Source organism: Homo sapiens, chromosome 1, assembly GCF_000001405.40.
Source record: "Homo sapiens chromosome 1, GRCh38.p14 Primary Assembly".
NCBI classification, from domain to species: domain Eukaryota; kingdom Metazoa; phylum Chordata; class Mammalia; order Primates; family Hominidae; genus Homo; species Homo sapiens.
In genome coordinates, this window is record NC_000001.11 from 12578078 (window position 1) to 12600069 (window position 21992).

Below are 21992 nucleotides of genomic sequence, written 5' to 3' on the forward strand. Positions count from 1 at the left end.
GGTGGAACCAGGCAGAATGCACCCTATGTCTCAAGCTCCCTTCGCCCTGCACGACGCTGTGGAGGTGCATCTCCCTCATTTGACCTTTAGACACATCCCGCTGCATGCCTGTAGCTCTGGTAGTTTCCTATAAGCTCCCTGAACCAAGCAGCAGGACCCTCCCCATCGTGGCATCACTGCCTTGCAGACCGAGAACCAGGTAAGACAGCGTCAAACAGAGGGTAGAGGCTCCTTGGTGACTTTTTGTTTTGAGACAGGGTCTCACTCTCTCTCCCAGGCTGGAGTGCAGTCGCACAATCACAGCTCACTTGCAGCCTCAACTTCCTGGGCTCAAGCAATTGATCCTCCCACCTCAGCCTCCCAGATAGCTGGGAATACAGGTGTGCATCACCATGCCCAGCTAATTTTTTATTTTTTTTAGACACAGGGTTTCTCCATGCTGCCCAGGCTGGTCTCAAACTGGATTGCTGGGCTCAAGCGATCCACCTGCCTTGGCTTCCCAAAATGCTAGGATTATAGGTATGAGGCACCGTGCCTAGCCCGATTTTTATATCAGAGCTCTTTCTGCAGTTGGCTGACTGAATGGCTTGGGGAGGCAGGTGAGAAGGCTGGTCTCAAGGTGGGTCCCCTGCTCACTGACCTGACTCTCATGCCCTGGAACATCTCGGTGCTGGTGTGGAAGGGCAGCACTGTGGTGGCGCTGACTCCCGGACAGTCCAGCAGCCCCAGGGTCAGGCTCTCCATGAAGGCGAAGGCTGACGCTTTGGATGTGCAGTAGTCGATGGCACCGGGGATGGCAGACAGTGCCAGCACGGAGTTGAGGCACACGATGTGGCCATTCTGCAGCTCCAGCATACGCGGCAGGAAGGCCTTGGTGGTCTGAGGGCAGATGGGGTGTCAGGGTGGAGCAGCTGCAGCTCTGACAACCCCTCCACCTTTCTTTCGGGGAGAACAGCCCACCCCGGACACACATGATGCTCTAGGGCCCGAGCCTTCCTGCGAGGGAGAGGGCCGAGGGCTCCCTGCCCCAGGACACCGAGCATATTTCACAAAGTCTGATGTGTCCTAGAGCTGGTCATTCGTCTTGTCTGGCCACCTTGTTCGTGGACATCCCTGCTGGCCTGAGCCCAAGCCCTGGCAAATCATCCCCTCCCCTCCATCCTGCCTGGGCTCCCTGCACGCCCGGGGCTGGCTCTGGCCCCGGATAGCCCTTACCCAGAACTGGCCCAGGGTGTTGATGTGTTGGGACTTGAGGAGGGCATCATCATCACTGTCCATTAGGCTCTTCCCATGGACCACGGCGGCATTGTTCACCAGGATGGTGATGTCACCCACCTGCAGGCGAGAGGGAGCCACGGGGCCATGAGGGCAGCCAGCCCAGGGCCAACGATATATGTTTTTTGTTTGTTTGTTTTTGAGATGGAGTCTCACTCTGTTGTCCAGGCTGGAGTGCAGTGGCACCATCTCGGCTCACTGCCACCTCCGCCTCCTGGGTTCAAGCGATTCTCATGCCTCAGCCTCCCAAGTAGCTGGGATTACAGGCTCCTGCCACCATGCCTGGCTAATTTTTATATTTTTAGTAGAGATGGGGTTTCACCATGTTGGCCAGGCTAATCTTGTTCTGACCTCAAGTGACCCGCCTGCCTCGGTCTCCCAAAATGCTGGGATTACAGGTGTGAGCCACCGCACCCGGTCCAATATACTTTTTAAAAGGGATATGGCTTACTCCTAAGTGAACGAGTAATTTCTGAGTCCATTTATGATCAATCAATTGATGTGTTATTTACAAGTTTTTCTTAGATATTCCTTCCCGCAGGCCACTTTCTGCCAGCCTAGTTCCAGTTATCCTGCATACATAGAGGCCCAGCAGCCACCTGGCCGTACCACCAGCAGCCACAGGGCCTGGGGAAGAGAACTGCGTCTCTGAGCGCCAGTCTTGATTTGTGAGATGGGGCTAATGCCGCACCAGGACTGTTCTGAGGAGGAGAAATAATTTATGGCACACACCGTACCTGGCACACAGCATATTTATAATAAATGAGTTTACTGCGACATAAAAACAGTTAACATTACCACGTGCCAGACAGTCAGGGTGGGTTTCCCTCTCTTGGAGGTCACTGATATATTTAGCCCAAACAGATGACTGGAGTCAGAAGGATTTTCCCAGAGGCCAATGGGACATTTGCCCCGCCACAGTCCTGGAGAGAAACCCACACGGTCTACATTTCCAAGGGAACAACAGATGATTACGCCTGTTACGTAATCAACCCTAATCCCTGCCTATGTAACTGGGGCCAGCTTCATGGGAGAGTCCCCAAAGGTGCCCCGGGCAAAGCCATTCTGCCATAAGCAGAGCTCTCTTCCAGGCCACATGAGAATGTTCTCTTTGCCCGGAATTAGCCTGTGGTCAGCTGTGCTAGGAATAGACCCTCCCAGGCTACAGACCTTCTCCCGGACGGCCTTGGCCGTCTGGTACACCTCCTCCCGGTTGCCCACATCACAGATGAAGTAATGGCACTCAGTGCCCATCTGCCGGATCTCCTCCGTCGTCTCCTTCAGGCATTTCTCAGTCCGGCCCCAGAGAACAATCTGGAAGAAGATAATAACAACGCAGAACAAATGGTCATTAAGCCACAGTGATGCAACAATTGCCACCAGAAATTCAGGATTTAAAGTCATTTGTCTTGAAATGACTGGCCTCCCTGGTTCCACCCAAAGATAAAGAATACAACATAGATTAATAATATAACTTTTGTTTTTTTTGAGGCAGGATCTTCTTCTGTTGCCCAGGCTAGAACGCAGCAGTGCGATCATAGCTCACTGCAGCCTCAAACTCCTGGGCTCAAGAGATCCTCCCATCCCAGCCTCCGGAGTGGCTGGGACCACAGGTGCATGCTACCATACCTAGCTAATTTTTTTAAAAAAAATTTTGTAGAGTAGGGGTATTCTTATGTTGCCCAGGCTGGTCTTGAACTCCTGGGTTCAAGCAATCCTCCCACCTCGGCCTCTCAAGTGCTGGGATTACAGGTATGAGCCACTGCCCCCAGCCAACAATATAACTTTTTAAAGGGATATGATCTACTTTTAAGTGAACCAGTAGTTTCTGAGCCCACTTATGATCAATCAATTGATGTGTATTTACAAGTTTTTCTTGTATATTACTTTTAGCAGGCTGCCTCCTGCCAGTGCAGTTCATTTCCTGTAAATGTAGAGGCAACAGCAGAGCTCTTTATGCACAATGCTCCAGAATGCTCTCCATTAGGAATCAGCTGGCTTCACCGATTAGGTCTAGAGCCAGGATTATTAAGACCAGCTGGTAGCATAGATGGGACCATTCCAGCCTCAAGGTTCACAGGAGCTAAGCCGAGCCTCCCATCTAGCTTCAGTCACTCCCCTAAGGATATTCTGGAAGGGCAGTGACGAGGCTGCCACTGAGAAGGAAGCATGGCCTCACCCGGCAGGTAACAAACATGGACTCATTACGCCAGAAGGTGACCTTGGCAGGACCACTGAGGGTTTGGGCAAATTTATGAATGGCCAGCCCATAAAAGGCTCAGAAGAGAAGCCTGGCTAATTCTTAACCTTGACCTAACGGAGGACGACGCACCTCCCCACGATGTGTCACTGGGGTCAGTGAGGCCTCTGTTGGTAAAAGGGCCTGGAGTCGGATGACAGGGGGACCAAGAGCCCTAACTAAGAACCAGCTTCACCAGCACAGAGGGAGAAAGGCAGGGGGCTGAACACCGCCCAGAGGTCAGAAGCAGAGACAGGAAGAGCCGAAAGGGTTTTGGGAATTCGTCCGGTGGGCTTCTATTTTTGTTTCTTTTCTCTTTTATTTAAGACTATCAGTGAAATTCCCCCTTAAAAAATATCCAACGTGGAAACCCCAACGCGTGAAACCTAGAAAAGGAATAAAACACCTGACTCCATAATATTTTCTTACTCTAAAGGTTGCTAATGAGAACAAAATGGCTGCTTTGGGAAGGTAAACATTTTAAACTGGGGGTTACAGATGGCGGCTCCAATGACATCAGACCCAGATCCAACTGATTTCTCTATTTTGCTTTGTTACACGGTATAGAGAAAAGTCACATTGATAAGGAGTTGCTAATGGTAACCGTTTATCCGCTGCTCACCTTGAAATCTCAAGACTGTCACTTAAGCAGAGAGGGCACAAAACAGGCCTAGCTGGCGGCTCTCAGAAATTCCGGTATTCTCCAATGGAATCGATTTTTTAAATTAGAGTTTTAAAAGCTTTCAAAATATTTTACAAAAAAATAAGTGTTCTCTAAAGCCCAGTTTGAAAACCCCACTTAGTCTAGCCACTTTATTTTAATTAAGGTCTTGAAATACAGGAAGGGCTTAACAAGTGGGTCCCGTCAGTTCCTCTCAATGACGGTACAAGTCCTTCAAAGGCAGATGGACTGCAATTAAACAGGCTCCAAGGGACACTTTCTTGTCTGTTGAACTAAAAACAGAATGTGTTCCTCCAGGAGAAGCTGGGAGGTTCAGTTCATGGAAAAGAAAAAAGACAAACATTTGTTCCAGGCAGGCAATTTGGTGTAGGCCTCCTCCACTCCTCTGGACCACCCCCCGCCTTGCCTTGCAGCCATTGTCATCCAGGTTCCTTTATTCCTCCCTTATCATCCTGTGTATACAGCCACCCATCCATCTATCTGTCCATCCGTCCACTCTCCCGTTCACCAGTCCATCCATCTATCCACCACACTTCATCCATCCATCCCTCCCTCGTCTACCCAACTCCATCCATCCATCCATCCATCCATCCATCCATCCCTCCCTCCCTCATCTACCCTACTCCATCCATCCATGCATCCATCCATCCACTTACCCACCCCACTCCATCCATCCATCCACTCACCTACTTCTCCACCCATCCATCCATCTATCCATCCCTCACCTACCCCACTGTACCCACTGTACCCACTCACCTACCCAACTCCATCCACTCATCCACTCACCTACCCCATTCCATTAATCTGTCCACTCACCTATCCCACTCCATCCATCCATCCATGCATTCATCCACACACCTACCCTACTCCATCCATCCACTCACCCACCCCACTCCATCCATCCATCCACTCACCTGCTTCTCCACCCATCCATCCATCTATCCATCCCTCACCTACCCCACTGTACCCACTCACCTACCCAACTCCATCTACCCATCCCCTCACTTACCCCATTCCATTAGTCTATCCACTCACCTACCCTACTCCATTCATCCATCCATCCATCCATCCATCCATCCACCCACCCATCCATTCCTCACCCACCCCACCCCATCCATCCATCCATCCATCCACTCACCTACTTATCCATCCATCCATCCATCCATCCATCCACTCACCTACTTATCCATCCATCCATCCACCCATCCACTCACCTACTTATCCATCCATCCATCCATCCATCCATCCACCCATCCATCCCTCACCCACCCCACTCCATCCACCCATCCATCCACCCATCCATCCACTCACCTACTTATCCATCCATCCATCCATCCATCCATCCATCCATCCATCCATCCCTCCCTCACATACCCCACTCCATCCATCCATCCATTCATCTGTCCATCCATCCATCCACCCATTCATCCACTCACCTACCCTACTCCATCCATTCATGCATCCATCCATGCACTCACCCACTCCACTCCATCTGTCCATCCATCCATGCATCCATCCATCCCCCCACCCATCCCTCATCTACCCTACTCCATCTATCCAACCATCCACTCACCTACTCCACTTCATCCATCCATGCATTCATGCATCCATCCATCCATTTACTCACCTGCCCAATTCCATTCATCTATCCATTCATCCACCCACCCACCCACCCACCCATCAGCCCCACTGCACCCATCCATCCATCTGGTTTCTGAGTATGTCAGCCCAAGGGGTAGGTAATCATTGGTTTCCATTCTTCTGTTCTGGTCCCTGCCTAACCCCATCCTACCTCTGGCTCCTATGTGTAACAGGACCATGGGGCTTGCACAGTCCCCTGGGGTCTGGCTGAGGTAGGGAGAGGTGCCTCTGGGGGCCCTAAGAATTGCTGGGCAAATTGACAGAGAGGAAAGCTTAAAGCTGGGGGCTTGCAGGAAGGTATAGGGTTCAGATGTCCGTGGAGACAAGTGGTCACCCCAGCACTGTTGACCTAGCTGGAAGACCACCCTGGAGAGGAAGTGGAGCAGGGCTGAGGGAGAAGGAATGAAGGCTGTCTCCCACTGTCTTCCGTGGGCCAGGAAGCCCCCCAGGCAGGGCCCTAACACTTGGCTGTTTCCTTTCAAGGGTCTGTTGAGGGTGCCCCAGGCGGGCTGGGGAACCGGCCTCACCTCTCCCTGGCACCATGATAGGTTTGCCTTTCTGCCTCCTCACCCCCCCACCCCCCAGGCCCCAATTCTATCCCGTTCACATCCCAGTGCCCAGCATAGCACATTCTGTTTGTTGAATGAATGAATGAATGAATGACAGTTCAGGTACACAGGTGGACGGGGAAGGGAGGTGTTTTAACTTCTGTAAGAGGAGAGACCACCCATCCCCTTGGCTAAGCCATTTAGGGCCCCAGAACCTTCCACTCAAGTCTACCTGGGCGCCCCAGAGCATCAGCACCTTCCTGGCCGGGCCTTGGGTGAGGAGCAGCTTTCACAGGGCAAGGCTTCGGTCTCAGACGGAGGTGAGGCTCTGGCTGCTGTGCGCATGCCCTGCTGAGCATCCCTGTGCCAGGCTCTGTGTGTTTTTGTAACTGGGTTTCTGTAGTATGTCTCTGTAAGTGTGTGTGTGTGTGTGTCTGTGTGGGTCTCTATGAGTGTATCTGTGAGTGTGTCAGTGTGTCTGTCTCTCCGTGTGTCTGTGGGTGTCTCTCTGTATGAGTGTATGTGTCTGTGGGTGTGTGTCTGTGTGCATCTCTGTGTGTGTGTGTGTCTCTGTGTGTCTGAGTGTGTGTCTCTGTGAGTATGTGTGTGTGTGTCTGTGGGTGTCTCTCTGTGTGAATGTATGTGTCTGGGTGTCTCTGTGTGAGAGAGAGTGTGTGTGTGTCTCAGTGTGTCTCTGTGTGTCTGTGGGTGTCTGAGTGTATGTTTCTGTGTGTGTGTGTGTCTGTGTATCTCTGTGTGTGTGTGTCTATGTGAGTGTGTGTCTCTGTGTCTCTGAGTGTGTGTCTCTCTGTGTCTGTGTGTGTCTCTCTATGTGAGTGTATGTGTCTGTGTGTCTCTATGTGTCTCTGTGTGTCTGTGTCTCTGTGTGAGTGTGTGTCTGTGTCTCTGTGTGAGTGTGTGTCTGTGTGTGACTGTGTGTGTGTGAGTGAGTGTGTAGCCATGTGTGCTGTTGTGTTTCCTCAGGTCCTTGGTGGATGCTGGGAGTCGCAGGGAAGCGCGGCTGGGCACCTTCCATCTTAGGAACCGGTAGCGTCTCTGAAGTGCTGGGCTGGCGCCTGAGTGAGCTGAGTGGAGGGAATGGGTCCCTTTCCCTGGTAGGTGCTGCCCTGTGGAGCTGCCCCAGCCACTGTCCCTTCCTGGCTCCTCTTCCCCCTCCAGCCTCCTACCCTGACCCTTCTGGGGAATCTGCGTCACTGACCAGGTAACTGGCAGATACCGCTCTGCAGGCCCGCCCAGGTGGCTCCTGCCAGAATTCCCTGGAGGTGACCTGCACAGCTGACAGGACAAGGGTCCCACCCAAGGCCATCATGAGCATGAGGACTGGGCGGGCGGAGGCGGGCGTCTGAGGGTATGTGGGTTGGGGGCCTGCAGAGGGGACTGATTTCTGAGCCCTTGGAACCAGTGCGGCTGCCTCTTAGTGAACTCGGGACAGGCAGCAGCTGGGAAGGCCAGAGGCCTGGAATTTACTCTTAAGCAGGGTTTATAGAATAAGGGCTGGGGTGGCTCAACACCTCCAAGGCCTCTCCTCCTCTTCCCTCCCATCTGGGGCAAATGGTGAGCTTCTGTCCCCTTCTCTCTCCCAGTGACTGGTAGGGGGAGGCAGGAAGGGGAGAAAGACCTCTGGTCTCCGGGGCCCCGGGCTGTCCTGCCCTTGCCCAGAGCTGCTCTCAAGGCGGCTATAGCCAGACAGATTCCTCAGCAGCCCTCTGCGCTGAAGGCTGTCATTATCCGTGGTCACAGTGGAGAAAACCGTAGCTCAAAGGAGTTAAGTAACTCACCCCACGCCACCCACTGTGAAACAGGATTTGAACCCAGAGCCTTGGCCCTTTGCAGAGGCACCCCTAAGCCCCCAGGCACGGTGGGGTCGTCTGAGCTTTGAGGGTTCCACTCTCCTCACATGCAACCCCACGCCCCGCGTTCATCCCCACCCAGCCAGCCTTCTCCTGCTTCGTCTCCTCCAATGTCCACAACAGCCCCGTCCATCCAGCACCACACGGACAGCCGGCTATGGGCTGGGGTGGTGATCCAACAGAGAATGAAGCAGATGTAATCCTACTTCAAGGAACCCACATTCCAGTGGGGGAAGACAGAGAAGGAACCAGAAAACAGTCAGTCACAAATGACAGTAAGTGGGATAAAGAATAAACAAGAAAACCTCATTTGCATCGGGGAATTGACAAGGTAGCCATATCATAATTTTAAAGATAAGGAAACTGCAGTTCAGAGAGGCTAAGCAACTCGTCTGAGGTCACACAGCAACTGAATAATGGAGCTGGGATTTGAACCAAGGTCATGTCCAGCTCCACAGGCTGTGGGGATTGCACCACCACTCACTGTCCTGTAAGAGAAAGCACATCTCCTCTCTTCAAGGGGTCCTGTGGGGATTAAGCTGGCAGAAGCTGGCACCCACTAACTAACTGCTCAGTACCCACTCCCTGTTGGTATTTCCCGTGGGGAGGAAAAGCTGAGAAAATCATAGCACTGCCTCTGATACACCCTCTTCACTGCCTCTGATACACCCTCTTCACTGCCTCTGATACACCCTCTTCTGCAGGCTTTAAAATGATAAGTGACACGACATGGAAAAATGCTCAGGAGTCTAATGTTCAGACAAAAGGGGTGCAGCACTATTTGAATAAGATAATCTCAACTCTAAACTTTTTTTTTTTTTTTTTTTGAGACAGAGTCTCACTCTGTTGCCCAGGCCGGAGTGCAGTGGCGCAATCATGACTCACTGCAGCCTCCATTTCCTGGGCTCAGGTGATCCTCCCACCTCAGCCTCCCAAGTAGCTGGGACCAGAGGTGCAAGCCACTACTCCTGGCTAATTTTTATATTTTTTGTAGAGATGGGGTTTTGCCATGTTTCCCAGGCTGGTCTCAAGCTCCTGGGGCTCAAGTGATTCTCCCACCTCAGCCTCCCAAAGTGCTGGGATTACAGGCATAAGCCACCAGGTCACTGGAAGTCAACAGGCTACACAGAGATGGGTGTCTCAGGCAGGATCACAGCTGACTGTCGTTTGCTTCTTTATATTTGTATAAGCAAAAAATATCTCTAAAGAACAAGTATTGTTATTTATGATCTTAAAAATAGAAGGTGGGGCTGGGTGTGGTGGCTTAGGAGGCTGAGGTGGGAGGATTGCTTGAGCCCAGGGGACAGAGGCTGCAGTGAGCCAAGATCTCACCACTGCACTCCAGCCTGGATGACAGAGAGAGAGCCGGTCTCAAAAAAACAAAAACCAAAAAACAAAACAAAACAAAACAAAACAAAAAACAACAGAAGGTAGAGTAAAAGCTTCCCCATGGATCACTCTCCAAATAGATTCTTTACACACAGGTAATGTCACTCAGCCCTTTGGGTCCAACCCCTTGTCCCCCAGCCCCCGAGTGGTGCTCTTCGGGGGCCCTCATCCATTGGCAAGTGACTGTCTATTCACATCTCTCTTCCTGTTGTTGAGTGAGTGAGGGAGGGAGCCTGCCGGGGATCCACAGCTCCCAGTTTCCACTCACTCATTACACAGTGCTCTTGGCCCTGCATGTGCTGTCACGGCCATTTGGGGTCTATATCCTGTCTCTTAGAGGACAGGGACTAAATCTCTCAAATTCAGGTTTCTCCTGTGTCCCTACCTGGTGCCCGGCCCGGGCTGTTTTTCTCTGTTTCAAATGCCAGGGCTACTTATGGACTCCTATTCAACCTGCAAAACCCTACTTGAATGCTCCCTCAGTTCTGAAGCCTCCCTGGCTGCTCCTTCCAGCCTCCCCACAACAACAACAGCACCACCACTATATAATGGCTAAATCTGTTGAGCAGTTGCCATGGGCCAGACACTGTGCTGAGTACATGGATATGTTTTCTTCTTTAATCCTCACAACCCCTCGAGGTGGGTATGTTTACCTTCTGCATTTAATAGGTAAGCCGCAGACAGACAGTGACTCACCCAAGGTCATGCAGCTCATAAGAGCAGATCTGCCTGACTCAGGATACCCATTCCTCACTGCTAACACTAGTCTTTTTTCAACCTCCACTAGTGCACAGATGTGAGCATGCTGACTGGTGAACACCCCTGCCTCTCCCATGAGCGTGCAAGGTCCTCCAGGGAATCTTATTCATCTCGTAACCCCAGCATCCAGCATGGGCCAGGCACAAGAGTAAAAGCTCAGCTAACATCATCACAAGACACCAGCCCCAGGAGGATACCGAGTGCCCCTTCTCTACCCAGCCTTGCCTTCCTAGCCCAGAGGGGCTTGCACTAATGCTGGACTTGGCTTTCATTCCTGGAGTTCAGCTGCAGCGCACCCTCCCACCGGCGACATGAGCTGGGTGGTCTCTGGGTGCGTCCCAGGAGGAGCATCTGTTTATAATTGGCAGCCCCTGAAAGATCTGAGACCCTGGGCAGGTCTTTGGCAGGCCAGCTCATGTCCCATGGGCCCCATGTTTTGGAGCTGGATCGGTGCTGACTTGGCTTCTCAGAGGGAAAGAAAATACCCGCCAGAGACCCCAAACCACAGCAGGCTGGGCGGTGGGGTGGGAAGGTCACAGCGTGGAGGGTGCACAGCTCTCTGCTCCTGGCCCCTCCAGTAGGAGGCTGTTAATAAAAATCCATCCCTGTGGTCAGATGAGAATGAGCAGGCAAGCAACATCTAGCTTTTAAGACATTAAGGTTAGAATGGGGTGCTAGATAGCAGAGGGTGAGTGTGAGCGTGGCATAGGTTACTACTAGAATTTCCCCCTTTCACAACCCTGTCTATTTCCAAAAGGAGAGACCCTTTCTCGAGTAGAGCAGCTTAGAACATGGGCTCTGGAGCCAGACTGCCTGGGTTCAATTCTTTAACAGTTATGAATTAACATGATCTTAACCTCTATGAATTAAGGTTTAAAACATCCACTCTTTTTCTTTTCTTTTCTTTTTCTTTTTTTTTTTTTTTGAGATGGAGGCTTGCTCTGTGGGCTAGGCTGGAGTGCAGTGGCGCGATCTCGGCTCACTGCCTCCTCTGCTTCCTGGGTTTGAGCGATTCTCCTGCCTCAGCCTCCCAAGTAGCTGGGATCACAGGTGTGCACCACCACACCCAGCTAATTTTTGTATTTTTAGTTGAGATGGGGTTTCACCATAATTCACCAATATGGTGAATTACAGGTGTGAGCCACCGTGCCCAGCCTAAAACACCCACTTTGAAGAGTAGTTGGGAGGATTAAGAAAGGGCACAATAAATGCCAGCTGTGGGCTGGATATGTTGGCTCACGCCTATATTCCCAGCACTTTGGGAGGCCGAGGTGGGGGAATTACTTGAGGCCAGGAGTTCAAGATCAGCCTGGGCAACATAGCAAGACTCTGTCTCTGTTTTGTAAAAAGCTAGCTGTCATTATTATTATTATTATTATTATTATTAGCACAGCAACAGAAATAGATCCCCCTTTGCAGTAGAAGATCCACATACCCTGTTGGGGAAACAGTTGCCCGGAAGACCCCATCTGGTCTCCACCTCCATCTGACTACCCTAGGCACAGCCTTGACTGGGGCAAAACCACAGAATCTTGCTATTTCTTGATTCCATCCTTCCACCTTACTTAGAAGGCTCTCCTTTTTCTACGTCCCCAAGCCTGAGAAGGTAGAGACCAGCTGTCAAAACTGTCCACCTGCAGAGCAAGCTGCGGGGGGATTTCTTAGGGAGGAGAGGTTTTCAAGCAGAGCCCCAAGGAACTCTGGGGGTTCTGGTGAGGAGCCTCTGGAGGTGCTGAGGGTGGGGTGGGGAGCAAGCAGATATCATTCCAGGCTTCTCCTCACTCCTGCCCCAGTCACCCAGAGTGGTGACACTTTAGGTTTCTAGAATAGTCATTTCTTTTGCTTTGAGATGATGTTTCACTCTTGTTGCCCAGACTGGAGTGCAGTGGCGTGATCTTGGCTCACTGAAACCTTCACCTCCTGGGTTCCAGCAATTCTCCTGCCTCAGCCTCCCGAGTAGCTGGGATTACAGGCATGCGCCACCACGCCCGGCTAATTTTGTAATTTTAGTAGAGACGGGGTTTCTCCATGTTGGCCAAGCTGGTCTCGAACTCCTGACCTCAGGTGATCCACCTGCCTCGGCCTCCCAAAGTGCTGGGATTACAGGCGTGAGCCACCGTGCCCGACCTAGAATAGTCATTTCTACAAAGACTCTGTCGCTAAAAAAAAAAAATAGTTGGAATGTGACTCTGAATCCGCAGCCTCTTCCTCCCCAGCACAGCCCTGGAAGGAAGCCTGCTTTCTCCGAATGGACTCCAGTGGGATCCCTCTAGCTGTCACCCATTGAGAGTGCTGGCCTGTCACTCGGGCACACCCAACAAGCCTACCAGCCCTTCTGCTTCCAGTGCAGATCCACACTGATCACACTGATCAAAACTGATCCACAATGATCAGGTACCGACTTCCAGCATCTCCTTCCCAGACTTTCTAATCCCTTCCACCTTTTTTTCTGGGAGGCCTGTTTTCCAGACTCTACACAATCCAGTCTGCATGCTGTCAGGTAAAAGGATGGGGACAGAGAGATCGTGCGATTCTGTGGTTTTGTCCCACTCAAGGCTGTTTCTAGGGGAGGAGACAGACATAGAGCTTCGGGTTTTCCAGGCAACCATTACCCCAGCAGGGTTCTGGATCTTCCATCAGCAAGGGGGATCTATATCTGTTGCTGTACTAATAAAAATAGTAACAGCTAGCATTTATTGGTGTAGCCCTAGGTCGTTACAGGTGCCCCACGGCTGACCCCAGGAGGTCAGAGGTGACAGAAGCCACTGGGCCTGTCAGGGACTTCGGCTAGGTCCTTATGTGTCCTTCCTGTTCCTGCACTGCTGGGCTGCTGAAGCCTAGGCAGGTCTCTCCCACGTAGCCCTGCAAAACAGGCTTTCCCTGGCTCCAGGCCCCTGTTTTGGCCTGCCGAGAATGTTTTGGCTACCGCTGGCTCAGCTGTTGGGGAGGATTGTGATGAAGCTCCTCAAATTAGATCAGCCAGTGGTGTCGCCCTCCCACAAGTCCCTGACCGCAACCTGGAGCAGGGCAGAGACTTCCTCCAGGCGGACGTCCAGCCTGGAACTGGCCCGCTTGGGAGGCACAGGAATGACAGTAGCTCTGACATGCACGTGGGGCTCACTAGCTGGCCACACTGCCTCAGCATGGGTGCCGTGGGGCGTCTAGTCCTCTGTCAGCTCAGAAGGGCTCATACCCGAGAAAACTGATACACGAAGGGGCTATGTAATTCCAAGCGGTAAGCGGTAGAGCTGGGACCTCAACTTATGCAATCTGTGCCCTTGGCCACTGACTTTACCTGCGGGAGCAAAATGACCCCACGAAACAACATATTCATTCAGTGCACAGGTACAGTGAGCTGATGCCATGTCCAAGGACTGGACAGAAAGGTGTCCACCTCCCAGGGAATGAGGGAAAGGTGCGGTCATCATTCGGTCTTGATGACCAAGTGGTTATGAAAGGCATGGCAGAGATGTTCCTTGCCCCTCTGCGAGGACACTGGGGCTCTGATGGGGCTCAGGTGGGAGGACAGGTGAGGACAGAAGCTGTTCTGAGCATGGGTCAGCACAGTGCCCAGGGCTGGTGTTTGCTGTGAGGGGGTATGGGGTTTGCCTGGAGCACCCTTGCTCTCCAAGTGGGCGGGGTGGGACTGTGACAAGCACTCACCGCCACCACAGTGAACAATCTGTGGACCTTTACTGCAGGCTGGATCCTGCTCTGGGCTCTTAGACTGAATCCTCTCGGCTGCCCGGATGTGGTACAGTCGGCTGATTAGTGTCCCCTGAGAAGCTGAGTCCAAGTCCTAACCCTTGGTACCTGTGAATGTGACCTTATGCTGAAAGAGGGTCTTTGGAATTGAGTAGCTGTAATTGAGTTGGGGATCTCAAAGTGAGATCACCCTGGGTTAGGGTGGGCTCTGAGTCTAAGGACTAGTGTCCTCATGAGAGACAGAAGAAAGACATACACAGAGGAGAGGAAGGCCGCGTGAAGATGGAAGCAGAGACGGCAGTGAGGCGGCCACAAGCCACGCGATGCCAGGAGCTGCCAAGAGCCACCAGGAGCTGAAAGAGACAAGGAAGGATCCTTCCCTAGAGCCCGGGAGGGAGTGGGGCCCTGCTGACACCTGGAGTTTGGACTTCTGGTACCCAGAAATGTGAGAGCAGCTTTGGTGTTTTGGGCCACACAGCTGGTGGTCATTTGTTGTGCCATTGACAGGAAACTAACACAAATGGGCTCCATTATCCTCATTCAATAGAGGAGGCCAAGCGAGGCCCAGCCCCAGGCTCCCGAGGCTGGGAAGTGACGGAGGCTGCTTCCCCTCCACACCACTCCCTGTTTTCAGATGCCAAGCTCTTTTTAACCTCCGAAGGCTCTTCACTGTCCCACATTAAGTGTTTTCTCTCACTGTATGCCCACTCCACCACGCACCCTGTCAGCCTGACCTCTGAAATCCAGAGGCTTCTCACCACTTCTCGCCACCTCCACGGCGCCTTGGGGCCCTGCCTCAGCGCCCTTCACCTGGAGCACAAGTGGACCCCTCACCTGGTCCCAAAAGGTCACTTGGCTGCTACCTTTGCCCCAGGGCCCCTGCCTCAGTCTGTTCTCAACACAACAGCCAGAGATCCTTCTAGAATGTGTCAGACCACATCACCCTGCTTATGACTACTGATGGCTGCCCATCTCACAGACTGGAATCTAGTGTTTACTGGGATCGCAGGCCCTTCCTGGTCTGCCCCATCCCTCGTCTCAGCTACTCCCTCCTAGGTCTCGGCCCTGCAGAAGCACTGGCCCCCTCTACCTTAGGGCCTTTGTACTGGCTGCTCTCTGTTCTCTTTTCCCAAGTATCCCTCTCCTTGTAGGGCACCCTCTTTTCTTTTTAAAAAATTATTATGATTATTATTATTTGTAGAGACGGGGGTATCACATTGTTGCCCAGGCTGGTCTTGAACTCCTGGCTTCAAGTGATCCTCCTGCCTCAGTCTCCCAAAGTGCTGGGATTACAGGAGTGAGGTACCACACCTGGCCACCTTCTCACAGGTTCTGCTCAAGTGTCTCTTTACCCAAGAGGTCTTCATGTAAAATGCCCCAACCCCACAAACACCAGCTCTGATTTGATTTACAAATCTACCCTTCTTTGATTTCCTCCTTCCCAGTTGCTGAGACAGGCATGTCTCCCCCTGTGATGAGCACCTAGTGTTCCTGAGGACACTCCTTCAAATGCTAAAACCACGCCCTGCCAAGAGCCAGTACGTGACAACTGGGCAGTCTCCACCTCATCCCTGGGTGTGATTCTTGCGAAACTTTTTGGTTCTGGGACCACTCAGAAAACTCTCCAGGGAAACGATCACAAAAGCTGACTCTGGGCAGGCAGAACACTGCTCACTCCCAGCCAGAAACCCACGGGCTGATGTTTCTTTTCACAAACATCCCCAGCCTACAAGACTGGCCAGGGGCTCCACCTCCATCTGACTGCCCAGGGCCGCACTTGGCAAAACACGGAGGCAGAGAAACTCAGGCTAGAGTTCATGGCTGACACCTCACAACCTTTGCCCTTTTCCCCCACTGGACCTCTTGCTGGAAAGTGCTGGGTGACCTTGGGGTGGGGGTGCCAAGGAGAGGAGGGAGGAGCCAGCATCTACAGACCACCCTTCCCTCACAGCACACATCTCCAGATTACTGTCCACCGGGGTGGGATTCAAATTTGGACAGTCTAAGTAACTCATGCAGGCTGCACTACTAGAAGTTTCAAAGCAAGGCTCGGACTCCAAAGGGAAGCTCTTTTAACAACCCTGTCCTGCCTCATTCATTCATTCAAGGACTATTTGTGGAATTGTGTGCACCAGGCACTTTGGAGGCCCTGGGATCCAGCGGGGAATACATTTATCTCACTTGCGGAGTTTGCTTGTGTGTAAGTCCGGGGACAATGAGCATGAACACTTGTTCACGTGAACGAATGACTGTATAGTAAGTAGTTTTCTAGCCACTAGAAAGTGCTAGATGTGCATGGGAGGAACACATAGCTTTGTAGGGGGTTGGAGGGAGTGATTATGGGGTGGGAGTGGTATTCAGATGGTGGGGGAAAGGTGCAGGGAAGTCCTCTTGGTTAAAGTAACATTTTGGAAGAGACCTGAGGGAAGTGAAGGAGGGAGCGATACAGACGCGTGGAGGAAGAGCATCCCTGGTGGAGGGAACAGTTGGTGCAAAGGCCCTGGGGTGGGAATGAGCTTCCCCAGCACGGAGACCAGTGTGGAAGAGCAAGCGGGAGACACCAGCCACAGCAGGACTTTGAATTCTTTTCTGAGATGGGGTAGATTGGGAGGTTGTAAGGAGAAAAAAGACAGCCTCTGACATGAAGCTGGAAGGGGCTGGGCTGGGATGCTTAGGTGATGGGAGAAGAGGGATTCTGGACGGTTGCAGAGCTGGGTGCTGGAGAAAGTGAGCTTCCCAGAGGACACCAGAGCGTTTGGCCTGAGAAAATGGAAGAATGAGGTTGCCGTTCCCTGAGCCCCAGCGCCTCCCTCTCCAGGAGGGTTGGCTCTGGCAAGCCCCAGGTGTGCAGGAAGAGAATCCCAGGTCCCTTCAGCTTCCAGAACAATTGGTTTACGCAGAGGGAGGGGAGGGGAGGCGGTGAGCGAGAAAGCAGTTCCAGGTGGCAAAGGCAGCTCCGGGGGAAGAGGCTGCCCCAGCGCCTGGGACCCACCTAGCGCAGCGGGGGTGAGCCCAGTTTCCAATAACAAAGTGCCCGGGCCGTCCCAACCCTGGCCCTGACAGCTAACGAGCTGCAGCCGGCTCGGTGCGCGGCCGGGAGGCCAGCCTGGCTCACATGATGGCGTGAGGGGGTGGCAGGAGGAGCCGCCAAGCCTCAGCGGGTCGGGCAGGAGGCTCCAGGAAGTCTTTCTGAAAGTGGGCCCAGGGGCGGGCGCGGGGCGGGGCCGCGGGGGTCCCGGGAGGGGCTGGGCGGGGCTGCAGTGCCGGGTGGGGATCGGGCTGGGATCCCAAGCGGCGGATGGGAAAGGGGTGGAAAGGGGATGGGAAGGGGCGGGAGATAGATGGGGAGGGGGCGGGGCGAGGCTGGGGTCCTGGGTGCAGACTGGAGGGCGACTGGGTGGAGCGGGTGAGGAGGGGGCCAGGTGGTGTCCCGGGAGCAGATAGGGAGGGCTTTGCGGGGAAAGCGGGGAAACAGGTTGGGGTCCTGGGCCGGGCGGCGAAGGAAGGCCGAGGTGCGGTCAGGGTGCAGATGGGGGGCGATGGGACAGGCTGGGGGCTGTGGAGAGGAGCTGGGTTGGGATCCCGGGTGCAGCTGGGGAGGGGACAGGGTAGGTGGCTGCAGAAGGGGGCTGGGTTGAGGTCTCAGGTGCAGACGAGGAGGGGCTGGGCGGAGGGGGTGAGGAGGGGAGCCGGGCTGGGGGCCGGGGCGCTGCTGGGGTCCCCCTCCCGCCCCGGGACCGTCCGCTCTTGCCCAGACCCGTCGGTAAACAGACGCCGTGATGTCACGGGCGCCGCTGACCTGTGGCTGAACCCGGAGCTGTAAATGAGATGCAAGGTGCCAGCAGCCTCCGGCCGCAGGGCCTACGAGCCACACGCGCTCCTCCGCCGGCCCGAGGTTACCCCAGCTGCACACACGGACAGGATGCTGCAAACGCCACCAGACATTGCAACACGCAGCCAGTCTGCTGGCCGCTGCGTGAACCGTCCCGGCAGCCCTCGCCGCCCCTCTGGCGGGCACCCACCTCCCTGGAGCGGCCTCGCTCCCCTCGAGCACCCCTGGGGGCTGGCAGCTCCCACCCCTCCGGGGGCAGCCTCTCCTCTAGGGTCTCTGTCTCCGCTTCCCCGAGAAGCCTCTAAACCCGAGGGCTGGGCCTCCGGGGTCAGCTTCGGGTTTTCGTGGGAAGAGATTGGGGAGGTGCCTGCCTTTGCTCTGGGCTTTCTGGGAAGCTCATTACTTCTCCCTTGCAAAGCCTGGTTGGGGGGTTGCAGGGATGGCTTCCAGGTATAAAGAGGTATAAAAGTGTCCCGTTGGCCGCGCACCGCCCCTCCCTTCCGAAGCAGGGGGCCTGTTTATCCCGCGGAGCTCCCAGAGCAGCCCTGGACCGCACTAACTTGGCAGCCAGCGCTCAGAGCTGAGAGCCTGCACTGCCCTTTGGAATGAAAAGCAGCCTGGTTGGGGCCTCAAGGAATCTGCTCTGGAGTTGATTTGCTGTGTGACTTTTGGATGAGTCACTTGGCATCTCTGAGCTTCACCATCTCCATCTGGGGAAGTGGGGAAAACTGAAACTGGCCTCCCTGTGCTGGTGTGGGGAAGGTCAAAAGTGCAAGAAAATGCTCACCAAACCGCAGGGCCGGTCAGAAGCCTCAGGTGCAGGGGGCCTGGCACGGGGAGAACTTGGAGACCCTCAGAGAAACCAAGGCTGCCCTTCTCCTCACCCACTGCCCCCCCAAACTGAGCCTCTGGGTTTATTGTGAGAAGCCGGGGTGACGAGGTCTTTGGGGATGAATAGTCCCCCCTGGCTCAAGGAGACCCCCATTGACTCCCCTACTTGGACCTCATTAACTAATGATCACCCTGCCTTGTGGGGGGTGGGGAACCTAGAAATGACCCCAGATCTCCCCCCGCCCTAGACGGAGTCTCACTCTGTCACCCAGGCTGGAGTGCAGTGGCGCGATCTCGGCTCACTGCAACCTCCGCCTCCCGGGTTCAAGCGATTCTCCTGCCTCAGCCTCTCGAGTGCCTGGGATTACAGGCGCCCACCACCGCACCTGGCTAATTTTTGTATTTTTAGTAGAGACAGGGTTTCACCATCTTGGCCAGGCTGGTCTCGAACTCCTGACCTCAACTGGTCCACCCACCTCAGCCTTCCAAAGTGTTGGGATTACAGGCGTGAGCCATGGCGCCCGGCCTGAAATGACCCCAGATCTTTAGCGAGTACTCATGGAGTGCAACAAGGCACAGCTGAACTCCAGCCCTGATTCCAGCTTCTCCTTCACTGAATTTAATCTTTAACATCCTTCTGCCTCACATCCCTCTGCTTTCTTGTCTTTGCAGCACTTGGTCACTATCTGAAGTGATGGTGGTTATTTGTTTGCTTGGTTTTTGTCTATTTCTCCCATTCTCAAACACACACACTCTCTAGAATGTAGGCTGTCCAAGGAATTTCCAGGCCTGGCTTGGTAATTGGGTGCCCAGTGACTGTGTGAATGAATGAATGAAATAGTTTTGCCTCTTCTGTGAAACATTAGTAACTTCCCTTTGAGGGGAACTTGGGAGGAATGAAGTTGACAACCTGTGTGCTATGGCTGTCGTTAGGACCAGCCACATCATTCGCAGGGTCCCTGGTTCAAAAATTGTAAAGAATTGCAAGATGGTGACAGCCGAGCCTCAAACCAAGTGTAGGGCGCTTCTGAGAGCAGGGCCAGTGAGAATCCCTGGGTCACACCCAGGAAGCCAGCCCCAGCCATCGCACAGAGGGTGCCCAACAGGAACACCCAGTGGGACCTCGTGCCAAGTCACAAGCCTTCCACGCTCCCCCAGGCAGCAGGAAACACAAACACAGCTCCGGCAGAGCCACTCCAGGAAGAACGTATCACACATCCCCAGCAGACAGGTGACACCTGCCAAACTAAAAGTTGCCCGCACATCCAGTCTCTACATGTGCAGGGGCAGTGGACATGGCAGCGTATGAGCTGTAGGGGAAAGAGGAATAATAACAACAGGTAACCTGGGCAACATGGTGAAAGCCTGTCTCCACTAAAAATACAAAAGTTAGCCAGGCATGGTGGTGCGCGCCTGTAGTCCCGGCCACTGGGGAGGATCACGTGAGCCTGGGAGGTTGAGGCTGCAATAACCTGAGATCGCACCAATGCACTCCAGCCTGAGTGATGGAGTGAGACTCTGTCTCGGCAAGTAAAATAAAACAAAAAAAAATAACAACAGTACTCATCATAATTAGCATTTATTTAGGAGCTTCTCTGAGTTCAACAGTGAGGTTTACGGCCCCTTATCCTCCGTTCTAGAATCCAAAAAGCTCTAAAATCCTACATTTATTTTTGACACACGCGTTTAGAGCAAGCCCTAATTGGAACCATCATGAGGCTAGTTCTGGTCTCTTTATCCCACTGTGGTAACTATCACTGTGATTACGGGTGGCTGCCCTAGACCTTGCTGTGGGCATCACTAGGTATATGGCCTATCTGCTGGATTGCATTTCTAAAGTCCAAAACATCAGACCTATGAGACACAGCTAGCCTTAAGGGTTTCAGATAAGGGTCTGTAGACTTGAACTCGGCTTCTTTTTAGAGACAAGGCACTGAGACCCTGGAAGTATAAGTAATTAGTCAAGAGCAAAGCCAGGAACTAGCTGAGCAGAGACCCCCAAACCGGTTGGCGGTACCCCTCAGAGCTGCTAGCAGAAGAAAGAATTCAGCTCTTGTTTTGGAAAAGGAAATAAACATTTTACTGGAGTATCTCAGCATCTCCCTCATACTCCAACATGAAATTCAGAGGTCACTGAGCTGGTAGGCTCAATCACACACCAGGCTGATGTGTCCCAGGGAGACCTTCAGCTAATTAAACGTAATTTATGGACCAGCCTCTAAGGACAAGCCTTAAATTACTTGCAAGCTGTGCCAAGGTAGCTATCCTACAGGCTATTAATTAGGAATCGGTTTAATCTCTGCTAGGACGAAGGTCAACTGCCTTGGAGTTAACCCTTCCGGCTGACTGGTCTCATGCTATCAGGCTGTGGCTCTGGGCCCAGAGGGCCAGGGGATTCAGAGGAAGCGGGACATTCAATGGGAAATGGCCAGGCCAGCACACCCTGCAAAGACCAGGATGCTGGGAGAAAAGCCAGGCCCTTGGCCCATAGGGCCAGTTGAGGCGGGAATTTTCCCAAGCACCAGCCCCACAGAAAGTGATTTTCCGTGGTCCTCAGAGAGCATCACATCCCTCCAACATCAGAGAATTCTGTGGAAAATCAGGCTTCCGTCACCTTCCAGTAATGTGGGCTGGTCGTGCATCCTGTAGAAAGCCTTCAGTGGCTCCCTAGTGCTCTCCCAATCATGTCCAGACTTCACCCCACAACCACCAGGCTCTATGAGGTATGGCCCTGGCCATCTCTCTCCACTCCCTGCTCACACTTTTGTTCTGGCCAGGCCAGGGTCTTTTTCCCAAAGGAAACAAACTCTCTCATCTCCTATTTTCTAGCTCTGCTCTTTCCCTCTGCCTGGGATATTTTCCTTCTGCTGCTTCCATCTCATCCTTAACGCCTCAGCTTAGACCCCAGTCCTAGGCACAGCCAGGTTTCCTTTCCTAGAAGCCAGACTGCCTGGATTCGAATCCCATGGCTACCTGGGCTGTGTGACCTTGGGCAAGTATTTAACGTCTCTGAGCCCTAGTATTTCCATCTTTAAACTGGGAACAGTGACTGTGTCATAGGGTTGCTCTGAGGAGTAAATCAGATTGTCATGTAAATTGTTTAACACGTGGGTAGCACTTTATTAACAACAAAGACTGGTTGGAAGCCCCCGTCTGTGCTTGCAGCTGCCTTCAGCCATGGTCCACCCTACCAAGGCATGTAGGCTCAGAGAGGTCCAGT

General features: G+C 53.2%; 1 protein-coding gene and 1 non-coding gene across 7 annotated transcripts in view, besides 1 other annotated feature; both read right to left on the reverse strand.

Annotated features, from left to right (window-relative positions):
- The window catches only part of DHRS3 (dehydrogenase/reductase 3), a 50301-nt gene that overhangs the window by 10168 nt on the left and 18141 nt on the right, over nucleotides 1–21992 (reverse strand). For 3 of the 6 annotated variants that reach the window (NM_004753.7, NM_001319225.2, XM_047434406.1), the window contains exons 2-4: nucleotides 2446–2589; nucleotides 1216–1335; nucleotides 641–879 (exon numbers count right to left, since the gene is read on the reverse strand). In NM_004753.7, the coding sequence (NP_004744.2) occupies nucleotides 641–879; nucleotides 1216–1335; nucleotides 2446–2589 (503 nt within the window). The other 3 variants (NM_001324370.2, XM_017002809.2, XM_006711036.3) reach the window with 3 other exon arrangements.
- Nucleotides 880–946, reverse strand: MIR6730 (microRNA 6730). Its single transcript, NR_106788.2, has one exon. It is a non-coding gene; the product is annotated as a microRNA 6730 (primary transcript).
- Nucleotides 14705–15204: an enhancer, noted in NCBI's record as "H3K4me1 hESC enhancer chr1:12652795-12653294 (GRCh37/hg19 assembly coordinates)". NCBI's record gives its function as "activates a minimal SCP1, AML or CMV promoter by ChIP-STARR-seq in primed H9 embryonic stem cells {active_cell/tissue: H9 hESC(primed)}" and the evidence as "EXISTENCE:reporter gene assay evidence [ECO:0000049][PMID:30033119]".